Source organism: Homo sapiens, chromosome 1 (genome assembly GCF_000001405.40).
Source record: "Homo sapiens chromosome 1, GRCh38.p14 Primary Assembly".
NCBI lineage: Eukaryota > Metazoa > Chordata > Mammalia > Primates > Hominidae > Homo > Homo sapiens.
Window position 1 is genome coordinate 163,735,174 of NC_000001.11, and position 21,908 is coordinate 163,757,081.

Here is a 21,908-nt window from a genome sequence, read left to right on the forward strand (position 1 = left end):
GTCTCACTCTGTCACCCAGACTGGAGGGCAGTGATGCAGTCTTGGCTAACTGCAAACTCCACCTCCTGGGTTCAAATGATTCTCATGCCTTAGCCTCACAAGTAGCTGGGATTACAGAAATGCTAATTTCTGTATTTTTAGTAGAGACAAGATTTCACCATATAGGCCAGACTAGTCTTGAACTCCTGACCTCCAGTGACCTGCACTCCTCAGCCTCCCAAAGTGCTGAGATTACAGATGTGGGCAACTGCGCCTGGCCCAGATATTTTCCATTTTAATTCAAATATTCTGTCTTTATCTGAGCTTCTTATTTATTTTTATTTATTTATTTATTTTGTAGAGATGGAGTTTCACCATGTAGCCCAGGCTGGTCTTGAACTCCTGGGCTCAAACAAACCACCTGCCTCAGCCTACCAATGTGCTGGGATTATAGGAGTGAGCCACCACACCTGGCGTTATCTGAGCTTCTTAGTATGTGCTCCATCCATGTATCATTCAGAGGTAAGCCAAAGATTGTCAAGCAGAATTTGGAAATCTCCTCCCTATTCTTTCCTTCAAGGGATTCTATGTCCCCACTCTCACTTCAGTAGCCAGTTTTTCAGCCTTGGTCCTCTGGTTACACAAGCAAGAAAACCTGTAATTATTTTTTATTGTTACCTCCAACACCTACACCATTTTGACTGTGCCTGCCTTCATACTAAGTGTGGTAACAACTACCCTCCTCTAAGTATGGATACCCCACCAGAAGCTATTTCTGTTCACTTTCAGTGCTTTCAGATAGCCTCCTTTTGTATTAATATATGTCCAAAGTTTATAGTATTATCTGAAGATGAATGGGTTCATTAGTATTTTACTGATCACTAAAAGCAGAAATCCTCTCTTTACATTATTAACCACAGGTTGAGCATCCCAAATCTAAAAAGCTCCAAAACCCAAAATTTTTGGACACTGACTGGACCCTCAAAGGAAATGGTCATTGAAGCATTTCAGATTTCAGATTCATAGATTTGGAATGCTCAACTAGTAAGTATAATGCAAATATTTCAAAATCTGAAAAAAAAAAGAAATCTAAAACACTTCTGGTCCCAGGCATTTTGGATAAGGGATATTCAACCTTTATTTCCTTTTAGTGGTTCCTATTAGCATTATAACATACATATTTTACTTTTCATGGCCTAATTAAAGTTTATACCGTACAATTTTGTGTAAACTGTAGAAACCTTATAACTATAGCAGCCTACTTATCATTCCTCAATTCTTAGTTCTATATTTGTTGCAGGTATGAAATCTATATACTTCATAATCCTTAGAAGGCAATGCTGTTTAGTAAAATATTATGAAAAAATATGTCTAATAATTTAATAAAATTATAACACAAAGTAGTCTTTTATATTTCCATAGAAATTTAGTTTTAGATTTGTTCCTATTATTTCCCTTGAGTCTGAAGAATGTTTTTTTCCTTTCCTTGTAAAGCAGCTATGCTTACAACAAATTTTCTCCTTAATTATCTGAAAATGCCTTTATTTCAAATTAATTCTTAAATAGTATTTTTGTTAGATATAGAGCTTAGGTAAACAGGTTTTTTTTTTATTTAGCACTTTAAAGAAAAAATACATTGACAATGAATTGTGTGATAGAAAATCTCAAGAAAGGAAAAAGAAACATTTTTTAAAAACCTAATAGAAATCCCAGAATTAAAAGAATATCTAAAGTAAAAAAATAAATCACTAGAAGGACTTATAAGCATAATGGAGATTAAATAAAAACAAGTCAGTGAAAATAAAAGGAGTACAGAAATTATTTAATCTAAGAAGAAAACAATTTATAGTATTGGAGGAGGGGGAAAACACAGTCTCAGTGACCTATGGGATACTATTAAAAAGTTAACATATTTTTTAACTGTAGTCTGAGAAGTCAAGAAAAAGAGAAGACAGAGAATGAAGCAGATGGCCAGAAGAGAGTTGCAGTAGCTACTTTAAAATTCTATTTTCTAATTCAAATTATGAATAATTAAGTGGTTGGTCCCAGTCATTTGTATTTTTACTTGAGACTGAGTCACATTTTCCTAGTTCTGTGCATCTCAATTAATTTGAAGTGCATTCCAACCGTTATACATATTATCTTGTATCAACTCTGGTTGGTGTTGTAGACTTTTTAAAAGTGTTGATGTTTTTGCTTTAGCAGCCAATTAAATGGGTTGAATTCAAATTCAAATTTTTGTGTTTGGGATAGCTATTCTAATCTTAGTTCAGATCATTTGCTTTTATCTGAGTTGCTGTGAATCAACTTCCTGCATGTATGGTTCAGAGGACAGCCAGAGATTTAGGAAGAGATTATATACCAAATTTAGAAGTTTTTCCTCTCTGGCTCTCTCTTTTCTGAATTTCCCCGTCAGTTTTCAGTTCTTAGCCAAAACTCTGGCTTCTGATTCTTTGGGCCAGAAAGACTCTGGTTGTCCATAGGTGTTTTAGCTGCCAATTGCAGCACTGTCTCTGGCCATCCCAACAGGATAAAACCTATAACAACAAGAAAATCACTCTACACTGGTTTCTCTTCAAAAATATGTTTTATCCTCAGAATCTGTTTGCTTTTTTTCTCTCCCCAGGATCACCAAATTGCTATTTTATTTATTTTTGTCAGAGTTTATATGTTTGTTTTCCCTGTGAAATTAGGGTCTGTACACAGCTGTATTTAGAACCTACCCCTTCTTTTTGATGGATTAGAAAATTTGTTTTGACAAAGTTGAAGTCCCTGGTTATATTATTTTCTTTGATGTCTAGCTATATTTCTAAAATTGGATTTTCTCGGAGATACACTTTTCTCCTCGTAATATATTTCCCTTTTAGTGTAAGATGGTTTACTCTGGATTTGATTACAACCAAGATTTTTAATAATACATAATGATTTTTTTTTAATTTTAAGAGTACATAGTAGGCATATATATTTATGGGATACATGAGATATTTTGATACAGGCATGTAATATATGTTAATCATATGGTAAATGTAAATCTGTCATCTTAAGCATTTATACTTTGTGTTATAAATAATCCAATTATACTCTTTTAGTTATTCTTAAAGTGTACAATAAAATTATTATAGACTATACTCACCCTGTTGTGCTATCAAATACTAGGTCTAATTCATTTTTTTTTTTTTTTTTTTTTGAGACAGAGTCTTGCTCTGTCATTCAGACTGGAGTGCAGTGGTGCAATCTTGGCTCACTACAACCTCCGTCTCCTGGGTTCAAGTGATTCTCCTGCCTCAGCCTCCCGAGTAGCTGGGACTACAGGTGCACGCCACCACGCCTGGCTAATTTTTATATTTTTAGTAGAGACGGGGTTTCACCATGTCGGCCAGGCTGGTCTCAAACTCCTGACTTCAGGTGATCCACCGGCCTCGGCCTCCCAAAGTGCTGGGATTACAGGCGTAAGCCACTGCTCCTGGCCCTAATCATTCTTTCTAACTACATTTGACCTCCTTAAGCATCCCTACTCCTCTTTCTACACCCCCTACTATCATTCCCAGCCTCTGATAACCATTCTTGTCTATCTCCACAAGTTCAATTGTTTTAATTTTTGTCTCCCACAAATAAGTGCGAACATGCAAAATTTGTCTTTCTGTGTCTGCCTTATTTCACTTAACATAATGACCTTCAGCTCTATCCATGTTGTTGCAAATGACAGGATCTAATTCTTTTTTTATGGCTGGATAGTACTCAATTATGTATATGTACCACATTTTCTTTATCTGTTTACCTGTTGATGGACACTTAAGTTGCTTCCAAATCTTGGCTGTTATGAATAGTGCTACAATAAACATGGGAGTGTAGATATCCATTCAATATATTGATTTCCTTTCTTTTGGGTATGTACCCAGCTGTACTAGTCCATTTTCGTACTGCTATAAAGAACTGCCTAAGACTGGGTAATTTATTAAAAAAAAAAAAAAAAAAAAAGAAAAGAGGTTTAATTGACTCACAGTTCTGTAGGCTGTACAGGAAGCATGGCTGGGAAGCCTCAGAAAACTTATAATCATGGCAGAAGGTGAAGGGAAAGCAAGCACATCTTTACCATGGCAGAGGGTTACATAGTGAAGGGGGAAGTGCCACACACTTTCAAACAACCAGATCTCTTGAGAAATCACTCACTATCAAGAGAACAAGGAGGAAGCCCATCCCCATGATTCAATCACTTCCCACTAGGCCCCTCCCTCAACATGTGGGGATTACAATTGGAGGTGAGATATGAGTGGGGACACAGAGCCAAACCTTATTACCAGCATTAGTAGCTCTATTTTTAGTTTTTCAAGGAACATCCAAACTGTTCTCCATAGTGTTGTACTAATTTACATTCCTACTAACAGTGTACTAGGGTTCCCTTTTCTCCACATCCTTGCCAGCATTTGTTATTTCCTGTCTTTTGGATATAGCCATTTTAACTGAAGTAGAAGGATATTTCATTGTAGTTTTAATTTGCATTTCTCTAATCATCAATTATGTTCAACACATTTTCATATATGCCTGTTTGCCATTTGTATGTCTTCTTTTGTAAAATGTCTATTCAGATCTTTTGCCCATTCTAAAATCAGATTGTTAGTTTTTTTTCCTATAGAATTGTTTGAGCTCCTTATATATTCTGATTATTAATTCCTTGTCAGATGGATAGTTTGATAATGTTTTCTCCCATTCTGTGTGTGTTATCTTCATTTTATTGATTGTTTCCTTTTCTGTACAGAAACCTTTTGACTTGATGTCAATTTTTGTTTTGGTTGCTTATTCTTGTAGGATATTACTCAATAAATTTTTTCCCAGACCAATGTCCTGTAGAGTTTCCCCTATGTTTTCTTGTAGTAGTTTCATAATTTTAGGTCTTAGATTTAAGTCTTTAGTCCATTTTGATTTAATTTTTATATAAGGCAAGAGATAGGGGTCTAGTTTTATTCTTCTGCATATGAATATCAGTTTTCCTAGTCATTTATTGAAGAGAATGACCTTTCCCCCAATTTCTGTTCTTGGCCCCTTCATCAAAAATGAGTCCACTGCAGATGTATAGATTTGTTTCTGGGTTCCCCATTCTGTTCCATTTGTCTATGTGTCTGTTTTTATGCCAATATCATGCTGCTTTGGTTACTATAGCTTAGTAGTATAATTTGAAGTCAGGTAATGTGATTCCTCCAGTTTTGTTATTTTTGCTCAGGATACCTTAGGCTATTCTGGGTCTTTTGCAGTTCTATATAAATTTTAGGATACTTTTCTTACTTCTGTGTCATCGGCATTTTGATAGGGATTGCATTGGATCTGTAGATTGCATTGAGTAATCTGGACATTTTAACAATATTGATTCTTTCAATCCATGAACATAAAATATCTTTCCATTTTTGTATGTATCCTCTTCAATTTCTTAAATTAGTGTTTTATAGTTTTCACTGTAAAGATTTTCACTTCTTTGGCTAAGTCCTAGATATTTAATTTTATTTGTGGCTATTGTAGATGGGATTACTGTTTTTCAGATTGTCCACCATTTACATATAGAAATGCTACGATTTTTGTATGTTAATCTTACATTCTGCCACTTTACTGAATTTGCTTATCAGTTCCAGTAGTTTTTTTGGTGGAGGCTTTAGGTTTTTCCAAATATAAGATTATATCATCTGCAAACAAGGATAATCTGATTTCTTCCTTTCCAATTTTGATGCCCTTTATTTCTTTCACTTGTCTAATTGCTCTTGCTAGGATTTCCAGTACTATGTTGAATAATAATGGTCAAAGTGGACATTCTTTTTATGTTCCAGTGAGGGCTTTCAGTTTTTCTCCATTCAGTATGATACTAGCTGTGGGTCTTTCAGATATGTCATTTGTTATGTTGAGGTATGTTCCTTCTATACCTAGTCTTTTGAGGGTTTTTATCATGAGGAAATTTTGAATTTTATAAATACATTTTCAGCATTAATTGAATTGATTATATGATTTTTGTGCTTCATTCTGTTGATATGATGTATCACAGTGATTGATTTGCATATGTTGTACCATTCTTGCATCCATGGGATAAATCTCACTTAGTCATGATGAATGATCTTTATAATGTGGTGTTGAATTCAGTTTGCCAGTATATTGTTGAGGATTTTTGCATCAGTGTTCACCAGGGATATTGGCCTGATGTTTTTTTTGTTTCGTTTTGTTTCTTTTTTTTTTTATATATATCTTTGCGTGGTTTTGGGTTCAGGGAAATACTGGCCTCATACAATGTCTTGGAAGTATCCCCTCCTCCTCTGTTTTTTCAGAATAGTTTGAGTAGGATTGGTATTAGTTCTTCTTGAAATGTTTGGTAGGATTCGGCAGTAAAACCATCAGGTCCTGGGCTTTTCTTTGCTGGGACACATTTATTATGGCTTCAACCTCACTACCTGTTCAGGTTTTGGATTTCTTCATGGCTCTATCTTAGTAGGTTGTATATATCTAGGAATGTATCCATTTCTTCTAGGTTTTCCAATTTATTGGCATATAGTTGCTCATAGTAGCACCTAATGATCCTTTGAATTTCTGCAGTATGGGTTGTAATATCTCCTTTTTCATCTCTGATTTTATTTATTTGAGTCTTCTCTCTTTTTATTTAGTTGTGCTAAAGGTTTTTTAAATTTTATTTATCTTTTCATTTTGTTTATCTTTTTAATGTTTTCTTCATTACAATTTCATTTGTGTCTGTTCTGATTTTTATTATTTCTTTTCTTTTACTAATTTTGGATTTGGTTTGCTCCTTCTTTTCTAGTTCTTTAGGATGCATCATTAGGTTACTTGTTTGAAGTTTTTCTTCTTTTTGATGTAGGCACTTACAGCTATAAACGTCCCTCTTAGTACTGCTTCCACCATATAACATAGGTTTTGGTATGTTGTCTTTCCATTATCATTTGTTTCAAGACATTTTATATTTTTCTTCTTAATTTCTTCATTTATTGATCCACTGGCCATTCAAATACATATTGTTTAATTTCCATGTGTTTGTATAGTTTTCAAAATTCCTCTTGTGATTAATTTCTACTTTTATTCCATTTTGGTCTGAAGATTCCTTATACTATTTCCATTTTTCTGAATGTTTTAAGACTTGTTTTGTGACCTAGCATATTGTCTATCCTTGAGAATAACTCATGTGCTAAGGAGAAGAATGGGTATTCTGAAGCTGGATAAAACATGCTGTAAATATCTGTTAAGCACATTTGGTCTGTAGTGCAGATTAAGTCCAATGTTTCCTTTTTGAGTTTTTGCCTAGATTTGTCCAGTGCGGGATGTGGATGTTGAGGTCTCTAGATTGTATTGAAGTCTTTCTCTCTTTATTATTAATAATATTTGCTTTATATATCATTGTATGTTATTTGTGCTCCAGTTTGGGGTGCATGTATACTTACATTTGTTATGTCCTCTTGTTGAATTGACCCATTTATCATTATATAATGACCTTCTTTGCCTCTTGTTACAGTTTTTGTCTTGAAATCTATTTTGTCTGATATAAGTATCCTTGTCCTACTCTCTTTGTGGTTTCCATTCACATAGAATATCTTTTTTATCCCCTTATTTTATGTGTATCTTTAAAGTTGAAGTGTGTTTCTTATAGGCAAGAGATCACTAGATCTTGTTTTGTTTTTGTTTTCTATTCAGACTTTCTATATCTTTTGATTGGAGAGTTTAGTCCATTTACATTCCATGTTATTATTGATAAGTAAAGACTAATTCCTGCCATTTTGTTTTGTTTTGTGGTTTTCTCTTCTTTCTTTCCTTCCTTCCTGTCTTCCATTTAGTGAACGTGATTTTTTTTTCTGGCAGTGTGATTTAATTTCTTGCTTTTTATTTTTTGTGTATCTGTTGTATGTTTTTCAATTTGAGGTTACCATGAGGCTTGCAAATACTATCTTTTAACCCACTATTTTAAACTGATGACAACTTCACATTAATTGCATAAACAAGCAAAGAGAAAACTAATGAAAATTCTACTCTTTAACTTTGTATTCCCACTTGATAACTTTTTGTTTTTACTCTTTATTTCTTATTGTACTGTCTATGTCTTGAAAAGTTGTTTTAGTTATTATTTTTGATTGGTTCATCATTTAGTCTTTCTACTTAAGAGTAGTTTACACTCCATAATTACAGTGTTATAATATTGTGTTTTTCTGTGTGCTTTTTATTGTCAATGAGTTTTGTCCCTTCAAATAATTTCTTAATGCTCACTAATGTCCTTTTCTTTCAGATTAAATAACTCTTTTTAGCATTTCTTGTATGACAGGTCTGGTGTTGATAAAGTCCTTCAGGTTTTGTTTGTCTGGGCAAATCTTTGTTTCCTCTTCCTGTTTGAAGGATATTTTCACCAGACATATAATTTTGGGGTAAAAGTTTTTCTCCTTCAGCACTTTAAATATGTTATGCCACTCTCTCCTGACCTGTAAGGTTTCCACTGGAAAATCTGCTGGCAGACATATTGGAGCTCCATTGTATGTTATTTGTTTCTTTTCTCTTGCTGCTGTTAGGAATATTTATTCTTGACCTTTGAGAGTTTGATTATTATATGCCTTGAGGTAGTCCTTCTTTGGGTTAAATATGCTTGCCATTCTATAACCTTCTTGTACTTGAATGTGGATACCTTTCTTTAGGTTTAGGAAGTTTTCTAATATTATCCCTTTGCATAAAGTTTCTACCCCATCTCTGTCTCTATCTACTCTTTATGGCCAATAACTATTAGATTTGCCCCTTTAAGGCTGTTTTCTAGATCTTGTAGGCATACTTTATTCTTTTTTATTCTTTTTTCTTTTATCTCTTCTGACTGTGTATTTTCAAATAATCTTTGAGCTTCCCTAATTCTTTCTTCTGCTTTATAAATTCTACTATTACAAGACTCTGATGCATTCTTTAGTATGTCGGTTGTATTTTTCAACTCTGGAATTTCTGCTTGATTCTTTTAATTTATTTCAATCTCTTACTACATGTATCTGATAGGATTCTGAATTCCTCCTCTGTGTTATCTTGAATTTCCTTTAATTTCCTCAACATGGCTATTTTGAATTCTCTGCCTGAAAGGTCACATATCTCTGTTTCTACAGGATTGGTCCTTGGTGTCTTATTTGGTTTGTTTAGTGAGGTCATGTTTTCCTGGATGGTCTTGATGCTTTGTGGACATTCATCAGTGTCTGGGCATTGTTGAGTTAGGCATTTATTGTAGGCTTTGCAGTCTGTGCTCATCTTTTTTGGGAAAGCTTTCCAAGTATTCTAAGGAACTCATGCCCCAAGCCCAATCATTCTGTGGTTTATGCTGACTCATAGAGATACCACCTTGGTGGTCTTGGATTCGATATAGAAGAATTCTCTGGATTACCAGGGAAAGCCTCTTGTTCTTTTCCCTCACCTTCTCCCAAAGAAATGAAGTCTCTCTTTCTGTGCTGAGCTGCCTGATTTTGGGGTGATGCAAGCACCCTTGTAGCCACCACCCCTGAGACTATGCTGAGTCAGATCTGAAGCCAGCACAGCACTTGGTCTCACCCAGGGCCCACTGTAACCACAACCTGGCTACTGCCTATGATCACTCAAGAGCTTAAGACTCTACGATCAGCTAGTGGGGAAACCAGAAAGGTTTGTGCCTTTCCTTCAGGGCATTCAGTTCCCTCAAACCCTGGGCAGGTCTGGAGATGCTGTCTGGGAGCCAGGTATTGGAGTCAAAAACCATAGACATTTACCTTGCGTGTTGTATTCTACTGTGGGTAAGCTGGCCCTCAAACCTGAGACCAAAATCCTTCTCACTCTTCTCTCTTCTTTTTACAGGCAGAGGAGTCTCTCCCAGTGGCCACCACAACCACTGGCCCACAGGGATTTCTGCCAGGCCACAATTAATGTTCACTGAAGGCCCAAGGGCTCTTCAGTCAGCTCAGTGAATTCTGCCAGGCCTGGGACTCACCCTTCAGGGTGGTGGGATCCCCTCTGGCCCAGGGCCAGTCTGTAAATGCTGTCTAATATCCTAAGCCTGGACTCAGTGACCCCAGGAATCTGCTTGGTGCTCTGCCCCATTGTAGCTGAGCTGGTACCTAGGGTGCAAGACAAAGTCCCCCTTTTTTTCCCCTCTGCTTTTCTCAAGCAGAAGGAATCCTTCACTGTAGCCACTATAGCTGGAAACGTGCTGGGTCTCATCTGATGCCAGCACATCTCTGAGTCTCACCCAAGGCCCACAGTGTATTACCTAGGTAATGCTGTTGGTTATTTAGGGCCCAAAGGCTCTTTAGTCAGCATGTGACTAATCCTGCCAAAACTGTATCCTCCCCTTCAAGGCAGCAGTTTACCTTCTGGACCAGGGTATGTCTAGAAATGTCATCTGGGAGCTAGGACCTGGAATGGGGCCTCACAAATCTGCCTGATGCCCCAACCTCTTGTTGCTGTGAACTATGCTGGCTGCGGTTCAGGGAGGGGTGGTACAAGCACTCCTTTGGCTGCCTCAGCTGGTGTCTCACTAGGTCCCATGCCACCTTTGTCCACTGGCTCTAAGGCCAGGCCAGCACTGGAAGTTGCCTAAGAATTGCAGTCCTTGTGTTCTAGATTGCCTTTCAAGTTTCCCTAGAACCTCAAAGCACTTTAGTCCATGGTGGTGAGGCTTGCCAAGAAATAGAAGTTCCAACCACTGGGATGAGTGATTCCCTTCTGGCTAGTGCTGGTCCAAATGCTCCCTCCATGGGTGGGCACCAGCTGAACCTAGTACAGCTTTGCTCTCACTGTGACTGGGCAGCATTGAGTTCAATGCTAAGTCTTCCAGATGGTATGGTCTCCCTCCCTCAAGGGCACAGATTCTCTTTTTCCCCTTGTGGCTGCTGCCATGGTATGGGGAAGGGGTGGAGTCAGCAATTCAAGACTGTTTTTTCCTACCCTCTTCACAGGTGCCAGCACGTCTAATCCTGCATAAGTAGAAGTTGTAACTAATAGAAGGTTACTACCAGTGGTGTGCTGGTAAATATTTATCAAATGGCTCCTTGCAGGAGAGAAATCAGATTGGTAGTGCTTCACAATTGCTGTGATATAAATACTCCCCACCATGGCTCATTTCTAGCTACCAACATGATATCACTAGATATGTAGGTAAGATGAGATGTGAACAATCAGCATTGATGAGCTGAACAGACTCTTGCTGCCATTGTTTACAACACAGCTTATGCTCAGAATTCCATTTTCCAAATTAATATAGACCACAGATTGACAAACTTTTTTCTGAGAAGGTGCTGATAGTCAATATTTTAGGCTTTGCATACCACATAATTTCTGTCTCAACTATTCAACTCTGTCATTGTAGTGCAAAATTTGTCATAAACAAATAGATAAGTGAATGGGTATAGATGAGCTTCAATGAAACGTTATTTACAAAGACAGAAGGCAGGCCAAATCTGGCCCATGAGCCATAGTCTGCTCACCCTCTATAGACCATAAATGCATATAGAACCAAAAGCGAATTCAAAGTCAGAAATTCAGAAGACTCTTCAAGATATCGCTATACTTCAGGTGTGTGGCTATGATCATCTGTTATTACTGCAGTGTCAGTGTGTAGAAATGTGGGTTAAAGGGGGGGACCTAAGCCAATAAAGTGCAGGCTAATAGTGTTTACTCAACTCTATTGTTTAGGAAATGCAGGTATGTTTCTATCAGATCTATTAATTCTATCACACTAGAAGATGTGAGAAGATTGTAGAAAATATAAAAGATGGCAAATTTTCTAGGAGTCTGGCTCACATTGAACCTATCGCAAACTTATTTACATGATATATTAATTATTTATCTTAAGACATATAGTTCTTAGTGAGTATGGGTATAGGTGTCTATCTCTTGCTAAAATTTTTCTAACTTAACAAAGATGCAGACTTCAGCACTAACTGATCGATATGCCTTACCAGGGGCTGTCTTGATAATCAGTTTTTACAAATAGCATTGGGTCAGAGGGGTTGTGGAATTGTAAGTCCTTTAGGGAATGCCATTCCAGCAAAAGCCAGGCACATAGGCAATTGATACAGTAGGGCTCTATTCACTTTCAACTCATCTTTCTTTCCCTTATAATCAATTATTTTGCAGTCTAGTTATAGCACTCCCAGGTGGAGAAGAAAAGTTTGAGTTCCATAGTGTTTTTCACCTCACTTTGATAGCATTTTTATTTACTAGGAACTTGGTAATAGACAAAGGGACCAAGATATAAAAGCTCTAATGTGCTTAATGACTGTTAAAAAGCACTTAACATTCCACTCTCACTATGTCAGTATTGAATGAACAACTGAGTCATTAATTCCATGCAGATTGCCTGCCCCTTTATTCTATACAATGCTTGCTTGGTAACAGTGAAGCCAGACAGATCAACAAGGAGGTTCAGCCTTTGCCCTTTCTTCAGTACACACAGCTGAACCTTAACTAATCCCCAAGAACCTTTTTGGGGGACAAATTCTTCTGTGAATCATGATAGGACTTGATATTCCTGTAACACCCTTTTATTAAGAAACTTGCATGTTACTGACACTTATCTTCTTAATCTCTGGAATCCTTGAGGGCAACCTGTATGGAGCCAATCCCCTTCAAATGTGAGAAAGCCGAGGCTCCAGAGAGGGAAAAAAAGATTGTCAAGACCTGTTATGTCATTCATTAGGAAAAAGGAGATTTGTATTTAGGTTGTTGTAAGAGTGATAGTCATAGCCACAGCTAGAAACATTTTCTCTGAAATGTTTCCTTGCGTCTTCAAAGACATTTAACCTCATAGGCCAAAACCCTGATAGTCTCATTACATTGATAACAATTCCCTTAGAGAGCTTCTTTATTTGTGCCTTGACCTGCAGACACAAGAGTGGGTGGTCATAAATCCTGTGAAAAAAAGTTTATCCAGTAGAGGGAGATTCCTCTCTTCCTTTTCCAGAGATAGAACAGAGCTGGGTCATGAAGAGGTCTCAGAGTGCTCTTAGGCACTCCCTAGGTAGAAAGTAAAAGTGTCCTAGAGTTTATCACTTGGCATTTTGGACATTTCTCAGTTGGGTTTAGAAAGGGCATCAAGGTTTGACTTGTGAAAAAGTTATTCAGGACACCAGAGCTGAATACAGGTGTGTCTCACTTTACATTATAAAATATGGCTGCCCAAAACTGCATGCAAATCAGTTTGATGCTGGTAAAATTATAGGCAGCCATCCCTTAGCATTAACAGCTCCATCAAGAACAGTAGAGTTAAGGGGTTTAAGTTTTTAGCCTCTACTTTCATCAGGCCAGCTTTACTTTTAAAATGTTAAGTGTTTGAACTTGGTGTAAAAGTTTGTTAGAATAAAGATTATTTTTAGCTAGAAGACCATTGATTTAATATACCCCTTTCCTATGAAAAAATAAAAAAAAACTGAAGAAGAGAAATGTGAAGTGACTTTCTCAAAGACCACCCAATAGTTACCAATATTCTGTTGTACTGAGAGCTTCTTCTATCACAGTATTCTTGGGGGGCAGGGTATTTACCTCCATTTCTAATGTGCTTTATAAATCCATAGACCCAAAGCTGAAAGGGAGCTCAAGAGATTATGATCTTCTTACTGCACTGTAAAGATTAGAGCCTTGAAACCTAACTATTCTGTGCACATTCACACAAATAATTAGTGACAGATTAGTGACAAAGAAGGTGACAAATGCTCAAGTTCAGAACTGTAGTAGAAGCTCTACTCCCTGCTCCCACCTGGGTCCTTCTTGTTGGACTCTTCATTGGTCAGTGGCACCTGACTATTTAGCTTCCAGTTTATCTGGCCTCTTATTCAGAGGCAAGGCTCTGGAAACTAATACTTAAGGCTTTGATATAAACAAGGTATGTTCCATTGAAGAAAGAGCCCTGAGGAAACTCTTCTTTTCTCACTGTGTTTCCCATGCAGGTAGATGTAGACACAAAATTTTGGTTTAGATTGTAGACATGTGTGGAAGATGTATTTGATCTCTTGAGAATGCTTTATCGTTAAATAAGGCAAAATAGTACTGGCCTTTTGGAAAAGTCAACTTTAAGAATGATTATAAAAACAATATTTTTTTCATTGCACTGTACTTGACCCATATCAGAGTTCCATTTGTATTTTGTAAACATGCCTTCATCATCATCGTAACAAGCTGATTGCTGTCTGCCTACTTTTTAAATAAACCCATATGATCATTTTAATTGACTGGCCCTTAGCTCTCCTGTTGCTTTAAGTACAATGACACTGATGTATACACATCAGGAAGTGATGGAGTGGTCACTTAATTTCTTGAATGAGGGTGATTGTTTATATGGGCATATAAACAACATAGCTATGGATTCTGTCAATCGAAGTTGCATTTGATAAAGGAGACAAATATTCAGACCTTTTCCCCCGGTCTATCCAAGGCATTTTTTTCTGGTGCTAGGGAAAGAGGGAATGAGAGATGATAACTGCTGCCTATGGTGAATTTGGCACTGCTATTTGAAAATATTCCTGTGGCCAGGTGCAGTGCCCTGCCTTGGCAGCAGCAATGATGCCAACACCAAGATGAGAAGCACATGTGGTTTATGATGTTTAGAAATATCCTTTATTTTTGTAACTCTTCACACTGTTGTGTGCAAAACCAGACTGAACTCCTACTATTTCTTCAACCTCCTTCCGTCTACCCAATACTCGATAACTGAAACTCCAACCAAACTGGCTTCTAGCTCCTCATCGACTCCTCCTAGCATGTCCTGCCTCAGGGATTGTCAATAGAGTTGGTTTGATCTAGAATCCTCTATTACTAGATCTTCCTCTGGCTGGCTTCTTCTCATTCAGGACTCTGTGAAAATGAGATCTCCTCCAAAAGGCCTTCCCTGACCCTCCTATCTAGAATAGCTACTTTTCATGTGATTATTTTGTTTTCTTTTTTTTCATCGCATCTAACACGAACCTATTTTATCTACGTGTTTATTTATCTGTCACTTGGTTTCTTTTTCCAGATTGCAACTTGCAGGAGAACTGAAGCACCCGAATTTGAAACAGTACCTACTACATTTAATAAATACATGTTTTTTTTTTTTTTTTTTGGTACATGATAGGGAAGTTTCTTTTTATTATTATTATTATTATACTTTAAGTTTTAGGGTACATGTGCACAATGTGCAGGTTAGTTACATATGTATACATGTGCCATGCTGGTGCGCTGCACCCACTAACTCATCATCTAGCATTAGGTATATCTCCCAATGCTATCCCTCCTCTCCTCACCCCACAACAGTCCCCAGAGTGTGATGTTCCCCTTCCTGTGTCCATGTGTTCTCATTGTTCAACTCCCACCTATGAGTGAGAATATGCAGTGTTTGGTTTTTTGTTCTTGCGATAGTTTACTGAGAATGATGATTTCCAATTTCATCCATGTCCCTACAAAGGACATGACTCATCATTTTTTATGGCTGCATAGTATTCCATGGTGTATATGTGCCACATTTTCTTAATCCAGTCTATCATTGTTGGACATTTGGGTTGGTTCCAAGTATTTGCTATTGTGAATAATGCCACAATAAACATACGTGTGCATGTGTCTTTATAGCAGCATGATTTATAGTCCTTTGGGTATATACCCAGTAATGGGATGGCTGGGTCAAATAGTATTTCTAGTTCTAGATCCCTGAGGAATCGCCACACTGACTTCCACAATGGTTGAACTAGTTTACAGTTCCACCAACAGTGTAAAAGTGTTCCTATTTCTCCACATCCTCTCCAGCACCTGTTGTTTCCTGACTTTTTAATGATTGCCATTCTAACTGGTGTGAGATGGTATCTCATTGTGGTTTTGATTTGCATTTCTCTGATGGCCAGTGATGGTGAGCATTTTTTCATGTGTTTTTTGGCTGCATAAATGTCTTCTTTTGAGAAGTGTCTGTTCATATCCTTTGCCCACTTTTTGATGGGGTTGTTTGTTTTTTTCTTGTAAATTTGTTTGAGTTCATTGTAGATTCTGGATATTAGCCCTTTGTCAGATGAGTAGGTTGTGAAAATTTTCTCCCATGTTGTAGGTTGCCTGTTCACTCTGATGGTAGTTTCTTTTGCTGTGCAGAAGCTCTTTAGTTTAGTTAGATCCCATTTGTCAATTTTGGCTTTGGTTGCCATTGCTTTTGGTGTTTTAGACATGAAGTCCTTGCCCATGCCTATGTCCTGAATGGTAATGCCTAGGTTTTCTTCTAGGGTTTTTATGGTTTTAGGTCTAACGTTTAAGTCTTTAATCCATCTTGAATTGATTTTTGTATAAGGTGTAAGGAAGGGATCCAGTTTCAGCTTTCTACATATGGTTAGCCAGTTTTCCCAGCACCATTTATTAAATAGGGAATCCTTTCCCCATTGCTTGTTTTTCTCAGGTTTGTCAAAGATCAGATAGTTGTAGATACGTGGCGTTATTTCTGAGGGCTCTGTTCTGTTCCATTGATCTATATCTCTGTTTTGGTACCAGTACCATGCTGTTTTGGTTACTGTAGCCTTGTAGTGTTGTTTGAAGTCAGGTAGTGTGATGCCTCCAGCTTTGTTCTTTTGGCTTAGGATTGACTTGGCGATGCGGGCTCTTTTTTGGTTCCATATGAACTTTAAAGTAGTTTTTTCCAATTCTGTGAAGGAAGTCATTGGTAGCTTGATGGGGATGGCATTGAATCTGTAAATTACCTTGGGCAGTATGGCCATTTTCAAGATATTGATTCTTCCTACCCATGAGCATGGAATGTTCTTCCATTTGTTTGTATCCTCTTTTATTTCCTTGAGCAGTGGTTTGTAGTTCTCCTTGAAGAGGTCCTTCACATCCCTTGTAAGTTGGATTCCTAGGTATTTTATTCTCTTTGAAGCAATTGTGAATGGGAGTTCACTCATGATTTGGCTCTCTGTCTGTTGTTGGTGTATAAGAATGCTTGTGATTTTTGTACATTGATTTTGTATCCTGAGACTTTGCTGAAGTTGCTTATCAGCTTAAGGAGATTTTGGGCTGAGACGATGGGGTTTTCTAGATATACAATCTTGTCGTCTGCAAACAGGGACAATTTGACTTCCTCTTTTCCTAATTGAATGCCCTTTATTTCCTTCTCCTGCCTGATTGCCCTGGCCAGAACTTCCAACACTATGTTGAATAGGAGTGGTGAGAGAGGGCATCCCTGTCTTATGCCAGTTTTCAAAGGGAATGCTTCCAGTTTTTGCCCATTCAGTATGATATTGGCTGTGGGTTTGTCATAGATAGCTCTTATTATATTGAGATACATCCATCAATACCTAATTTATTGCGAGTTTTTAGCATGAAGATTTGTTGAATTTTGTCAAAGGCCTTTTCTGTATCTACTGAGATAATAATGTGGTTTTTGTCTTTCGTTCTGTTTATATGCTGGATTACATTTATTGATTTGCATATGTTGAACCAGCCTTGCATCCCAGGGATGAAGCCCACTTGATCATGGTGGATAAGCTTTTTGATGTGCTGCTGGATTCAGTTTGCCAGCATTTTATTGAGGATTTTTGCATCAATGTTCATCAAGGATATTGGTCTAAAATTCTCTTTTTTGGTTGTGTATCTGCCTGACTTTGGTATCAGGATGATGCTGGCCTCATAAAATGAGTTAGGGAGGATTCCCTCTTTTTCTATAGATTGGAATAGTTTCAGAAGGAATGGTACCAGTTCCTCCTTGTACCTCTGGTAGAATTCAGCTGTGAATCCATCTGGTCCTGGACTCTTTTTGGTTGGTAAGCTATTGATTATTGCCACAATTTCAGCTCCTGTTATTGGTCTATTCAGAGATTCAACTTCTTCCTGGTTTAGTCTTGGGAGGGTGTATGTGTGCAGAAATTTATCCATTTCTTCTAGATTTTCTAGTTTATTTGCGTAGAGGTGTTTATAGTATTCTCTGATGGTAGTTTGTATTTCTGTGGGATCGGTGGTGATATCCCCTTTATCATTTTTTATTGCGTCTATTTGATTCTTCTCTCTTTTCTTCTTTATTAGTCTTGCTAGTGGTCTATCAATTTTGTTGATCCTTTCAAAAAACCAGCTCCTGGATTCATGGATTTTTTGAAGGGTTTTTTGTGTCTCTATTTCCTTCTGTTCTGCTCTGATCTTAGTTATTTCTTGCCTTCTGCTAGCTTTTGAATGTGTTTGCTCTTGCTTTTCTAGTTCTTTTAATTGTGATGTTAGGGTGTCAATTTTTGATCTTTCCTGCTTTCTCTTGTGGGCATTTAGTGCTATAAATTTCCCTCTACACACTGCTTTGAATGTGTCCCAGAGATTCTGGTATGTTGTGATGTTGTGTCTTTGTTCTTGTTGATTTCAAAGAACATCTTTATTTCTGCCTTCATTTCATTATGTACCCAGTAGTCACTCGGGAGCAGGTTGTTCAGTTTCCATGTAGTTGAGAAGTTTTGAGTGAGATTCTTAATCCTGAGTTCTAGTTTGATTGCACAGTGGTCTGAGAGACAGTTTGTTACTATTTCTGTTCTTTTACATTTGCTGAGGAGAGCTTTACTTCCAAGTATGTGGTCAGTTTTGGAATAGGTGTGGTGTAGTGCTGAAAAAAATGTATAATCTGTTGACTTGGGGTGGAGAGTTCTGTAGATGTCTATTAGATCCGCTTATGCAGAGCTGAGTTCAATTCCTGGGTATCCTTGTTGACTTTCTGTCTCGTTGACCTGTCTAATGTTGACAGTGGGGTGTTAAGGTCTCCCATTATTAATGTGTGGGAGTCTAAGTCTCTTTGTAGGTCACTCAGAACTTGCTTTATGAATCTGGGTGCTCCTGTATTGGGTGCATATATATTTAGGATAGTTAGCTCTTCTTGTTGAATTGATCCCTTTACCATTATGTAATGGCCTTCTTTGTCTCTTTTGATCTTTGTTGGTTTAAAGTGTGTTTTATCAGAGACTAGGATTGCAACCCCTGCCTTTTTTTGTTTTCCATTTGCTTGGTAGATCTTCCTCCATCCTTTTATTTTGAGCCTATGTGTGTCTCTGCACGTGAGATGGGTTTCCTGAATACAGCACACTGATGGGTCTTGACTCTTTATCCAATTTGCCAGTCTGTGTCTTTTAATTGGAGCATTTAGTCCATTTACATTTAAAGTCAATATTGTTATGTGTGAATTTGATCCTGTCATTATGATGTTAGCTGGTGATTTTGCTCGTTAGTTGATGCAGTTTCTTCCTAGTCTCGATGGTCTTTACATTTTGGCATGATTTTGCAGCGGCTGGTACCAGTTGTTCCTCTCCATGTTTAGTGCTTCCTTCAGGAGCTCTTTTAAGGGCAGGCCTGGTGGTGACAAAATCTCTCAGCATTTGCTTGTCTGTAAAGTATTTTATTTCTCCTTCACTTATGAAGCTTAGTTTGGCTGGATGTGAAATTCTGGGTTGAAAATTCTTTTCTTAAGGAGTGTTGAATATTGACCCCCACTCTCTTCTGGCTTGTAGAGTTTCTGCCGAGAGATCAGCTGTTAGTCTGATGGGCTTCCCTTTGTGGGTAACCCGACCTTTCTCTCTGGCTGCCCTTAACATTTTTTCCTTCATTTCAACTTTGGTGAATCTGACAATTATGTGTCTTGGAGTTGCTCTTCTTGAGGAGTATCTTTGTGGCATTCTCTGTATTTCCTGAATCTGAATGTTGGCCTGCCTTACTAGTTTGGGGAAATTCTCCTGGATAATATCCTGCAGCGTGTTTTCCAACTTGGTTCCATTCTCCCCGTCACTTTCAGGTACACCAGTCAGACGTAGATTTGGTCTTTTCACATAGTCCCATATTTCTTGAAGGCTTTGCTCGTTTCTCTTTATTCTTTTTTCTCTAAACTTCCCTTCTCACTTCATTTCATTCACTTCATCTTCCATCGCTGATACCCTTTCTTCCAGTTGATCTCATCGGCTCCTGAAGCTTCTGCATTCTTCCCATAGTTCTCGAGCCTTGGTTTTCAGCTCCATCAGCTCCTTTAAGCACTTCTCTGTATTGATTATTCTAGTTATACATTATTCTAAACTTTTTTCAAAGTTTTCAACTTCTTTGCCTTTGGTTTGAATTTCCTCCCGTAGCTCGGAGTAATTTGATCATCTGAAGCCTTCTTCTCTCAGCTCGTCAAAGTCATTCTCCGTCCAGCTTTGCTCCGTTGCTGGTGAGGAACTGTGTTCCTTTGGAGGAGGAGAGGCACTCTGCTTTTTAGAGTTTCCAGTTTTTCTGCTCTGTTTTTTCCCCATCTTTGTGGTTTTATCTACTTTTGGTCCTTGATGATGGTGATGTACAGATGGGTTTTTGGTGTGGTTGTCCTTTCTGTTTGTTAGTTTTCCTTCTAACAGACAGGACCCTCAGCTGCAGGTCTGTTGGAGTACCTGACCGCATGAGGTGTCAGTCTGCCCCTGCTGGGGGTTGCCTCCCAGTTAGGCTGCTCGGGGGTCAGGGATCAGGGACCCACTTGAGGAGGCAGTCTGCCCATTCTCAGATCTCCAGCTGTGTGCTGGGATAACCACTGCTCTCTTCAAAGCTGTCAGACAGGGACATTTAAGTCTGCAGAGGTTACTGCTGTCTTTTTGTTTGTCTGTGCCCTGCCCCCAGAGGTGGAGCCTACAGAGGCAGGCAGGCCTCCTTGAGCTGTGGTGGGCTCCACCCAGTTCGAGCTTCCCGGCTGCTTTGTTTACCTAAGCAAGCCTGGGCAATGGTGGGCGCCCCTCCCCCAGCCTCGCTGCCGCCTTGCAGTTTGATCTCAGACTGCTGTGCTAGCAATCAGTGAGATTCCGTGGGCGTAGGACCCTCCGAGCCAGGTGCGGGATATAATCTCCTGGTGCGCCGTTTTTTAAGCCCGTGGGAAAAGTGCGGTATTCGGGTGGGAGTGACCCGATTTTCCAGGTGCCATCTGTCACCCCTTTCTTTGACTCGGAAAGGGAACTCCCTGACCCCTTGCGCTTCCCAAGTGAGGCAATGCCTCGCCCTGCTTCGGCTCGTGCATGGTGTGTACACCCACTGACCTGCGCCCACTGTCTGGCACTCCCTAGTGAGATGAACCTGGTACCTCAGATGGAAATGCAGAAATCACCCCTCTTCTGTGTCGCTCATGCTGGGAGCTGTAGACCAGAGCTGTTCTATTCAGCCATCTTGGCTCAGGGGTAAATACATGTTTCTTATGTAAATAACTAAACTGATCACCTTTAAACCTTTTAAAAATGTCTGAGGCATAGAAAGTCATGTGACTAGAACAAAGTCAGATAGGTCAATAGTGAATAAGTGGATGAGTCTATATTTGTACCTTTGCTTTTGAGTAATCGGGATTATGTCCATTAAACCATATTGCTTTTTGCACAAAAAAAATAGTGGGTAATACTAGTCACTTTTTAATATTTTTATTCCACTTAATATTGGACAATAATATACCCCTTTTGTGCCTCAGTTTCTTCACCTAATTAGTATAATAAAAGTAACTATAGGATTATGGTTAGGATTAAGAACAATGATATATATATATATATATATATATATATATATATATATATTCTCACTTTGTAAAGATTAGAGCCTTGAAACCTAACTATTCTGTGCACCTTCACACGAATAATTAGTGACAAAGAAGGTGACAAATGCTCAAACACTGATATACATATATATACATATATACATATATATAGCACTGAGAATAGTGTCTGAGATATAATAAGCTATATTATTCCTGTAGAGTCCCTTTAAAGATGAAAATTTCCATTTGGCAACTTACCTCCCAATCATCTTTTCTCCAGGTTAAATATCCTCAGATCTTTAACAATAAAATGTTGTTTCTACACCTCCTGCCACTTTTTTTTTAATTTCCAACTTTTATTTTAAGTTCAGGGGTACATGTGCAGGATGTGTAGGTTTGTTAAATAGTCAAATGTGTGCCATGGTGATTAGCTGCACAGATCACCTACTGTACAAATTGTGTTCCAGCTTCTTCG

At 38.1% G+C, this 21,908-nt stretch overlaps 1 long non-coding RNA gene across 1 annotated transcript in view, besides 1 other annotated feature; it reads left to right on the forward strand.

The window, feature by feature from the left end:
* The first annotated feature begins 340 nt into the window (after positions 1-340).
* Positions 341-21,908, forward strand: part of LOC124904447 (uncharacterized) — a 90,138-nt gene continuing 68,570 nt past the window's right edge. The window contains exon 1 of the long non-coding RNA XR_007066704.1: positions 341-501. This is a non-coding gene — a long non-coding RNA (uncharacterized LOC124904447). The remainder of the gene's footprint in view (positions 502-21,908) is intronic.
* Positions 20,173-20,674: an enhancer, noted in NCBI's record as "H3K4me1 hESC enhancer chr1:163724583-163725084 (GRCh37/hg19 assembly coordinates)". NCBI's record gives its function as "activates a minimal SCP1, AML or CMV promoter by ChIP-STARR-seq in primed H9 embryonic stem cells {active_cell/tissue: H9 hESC(primed)}" and the evidence as "EXISTENCE:reporter gene assay evidence [ECO:0000049][PMID:30033119]".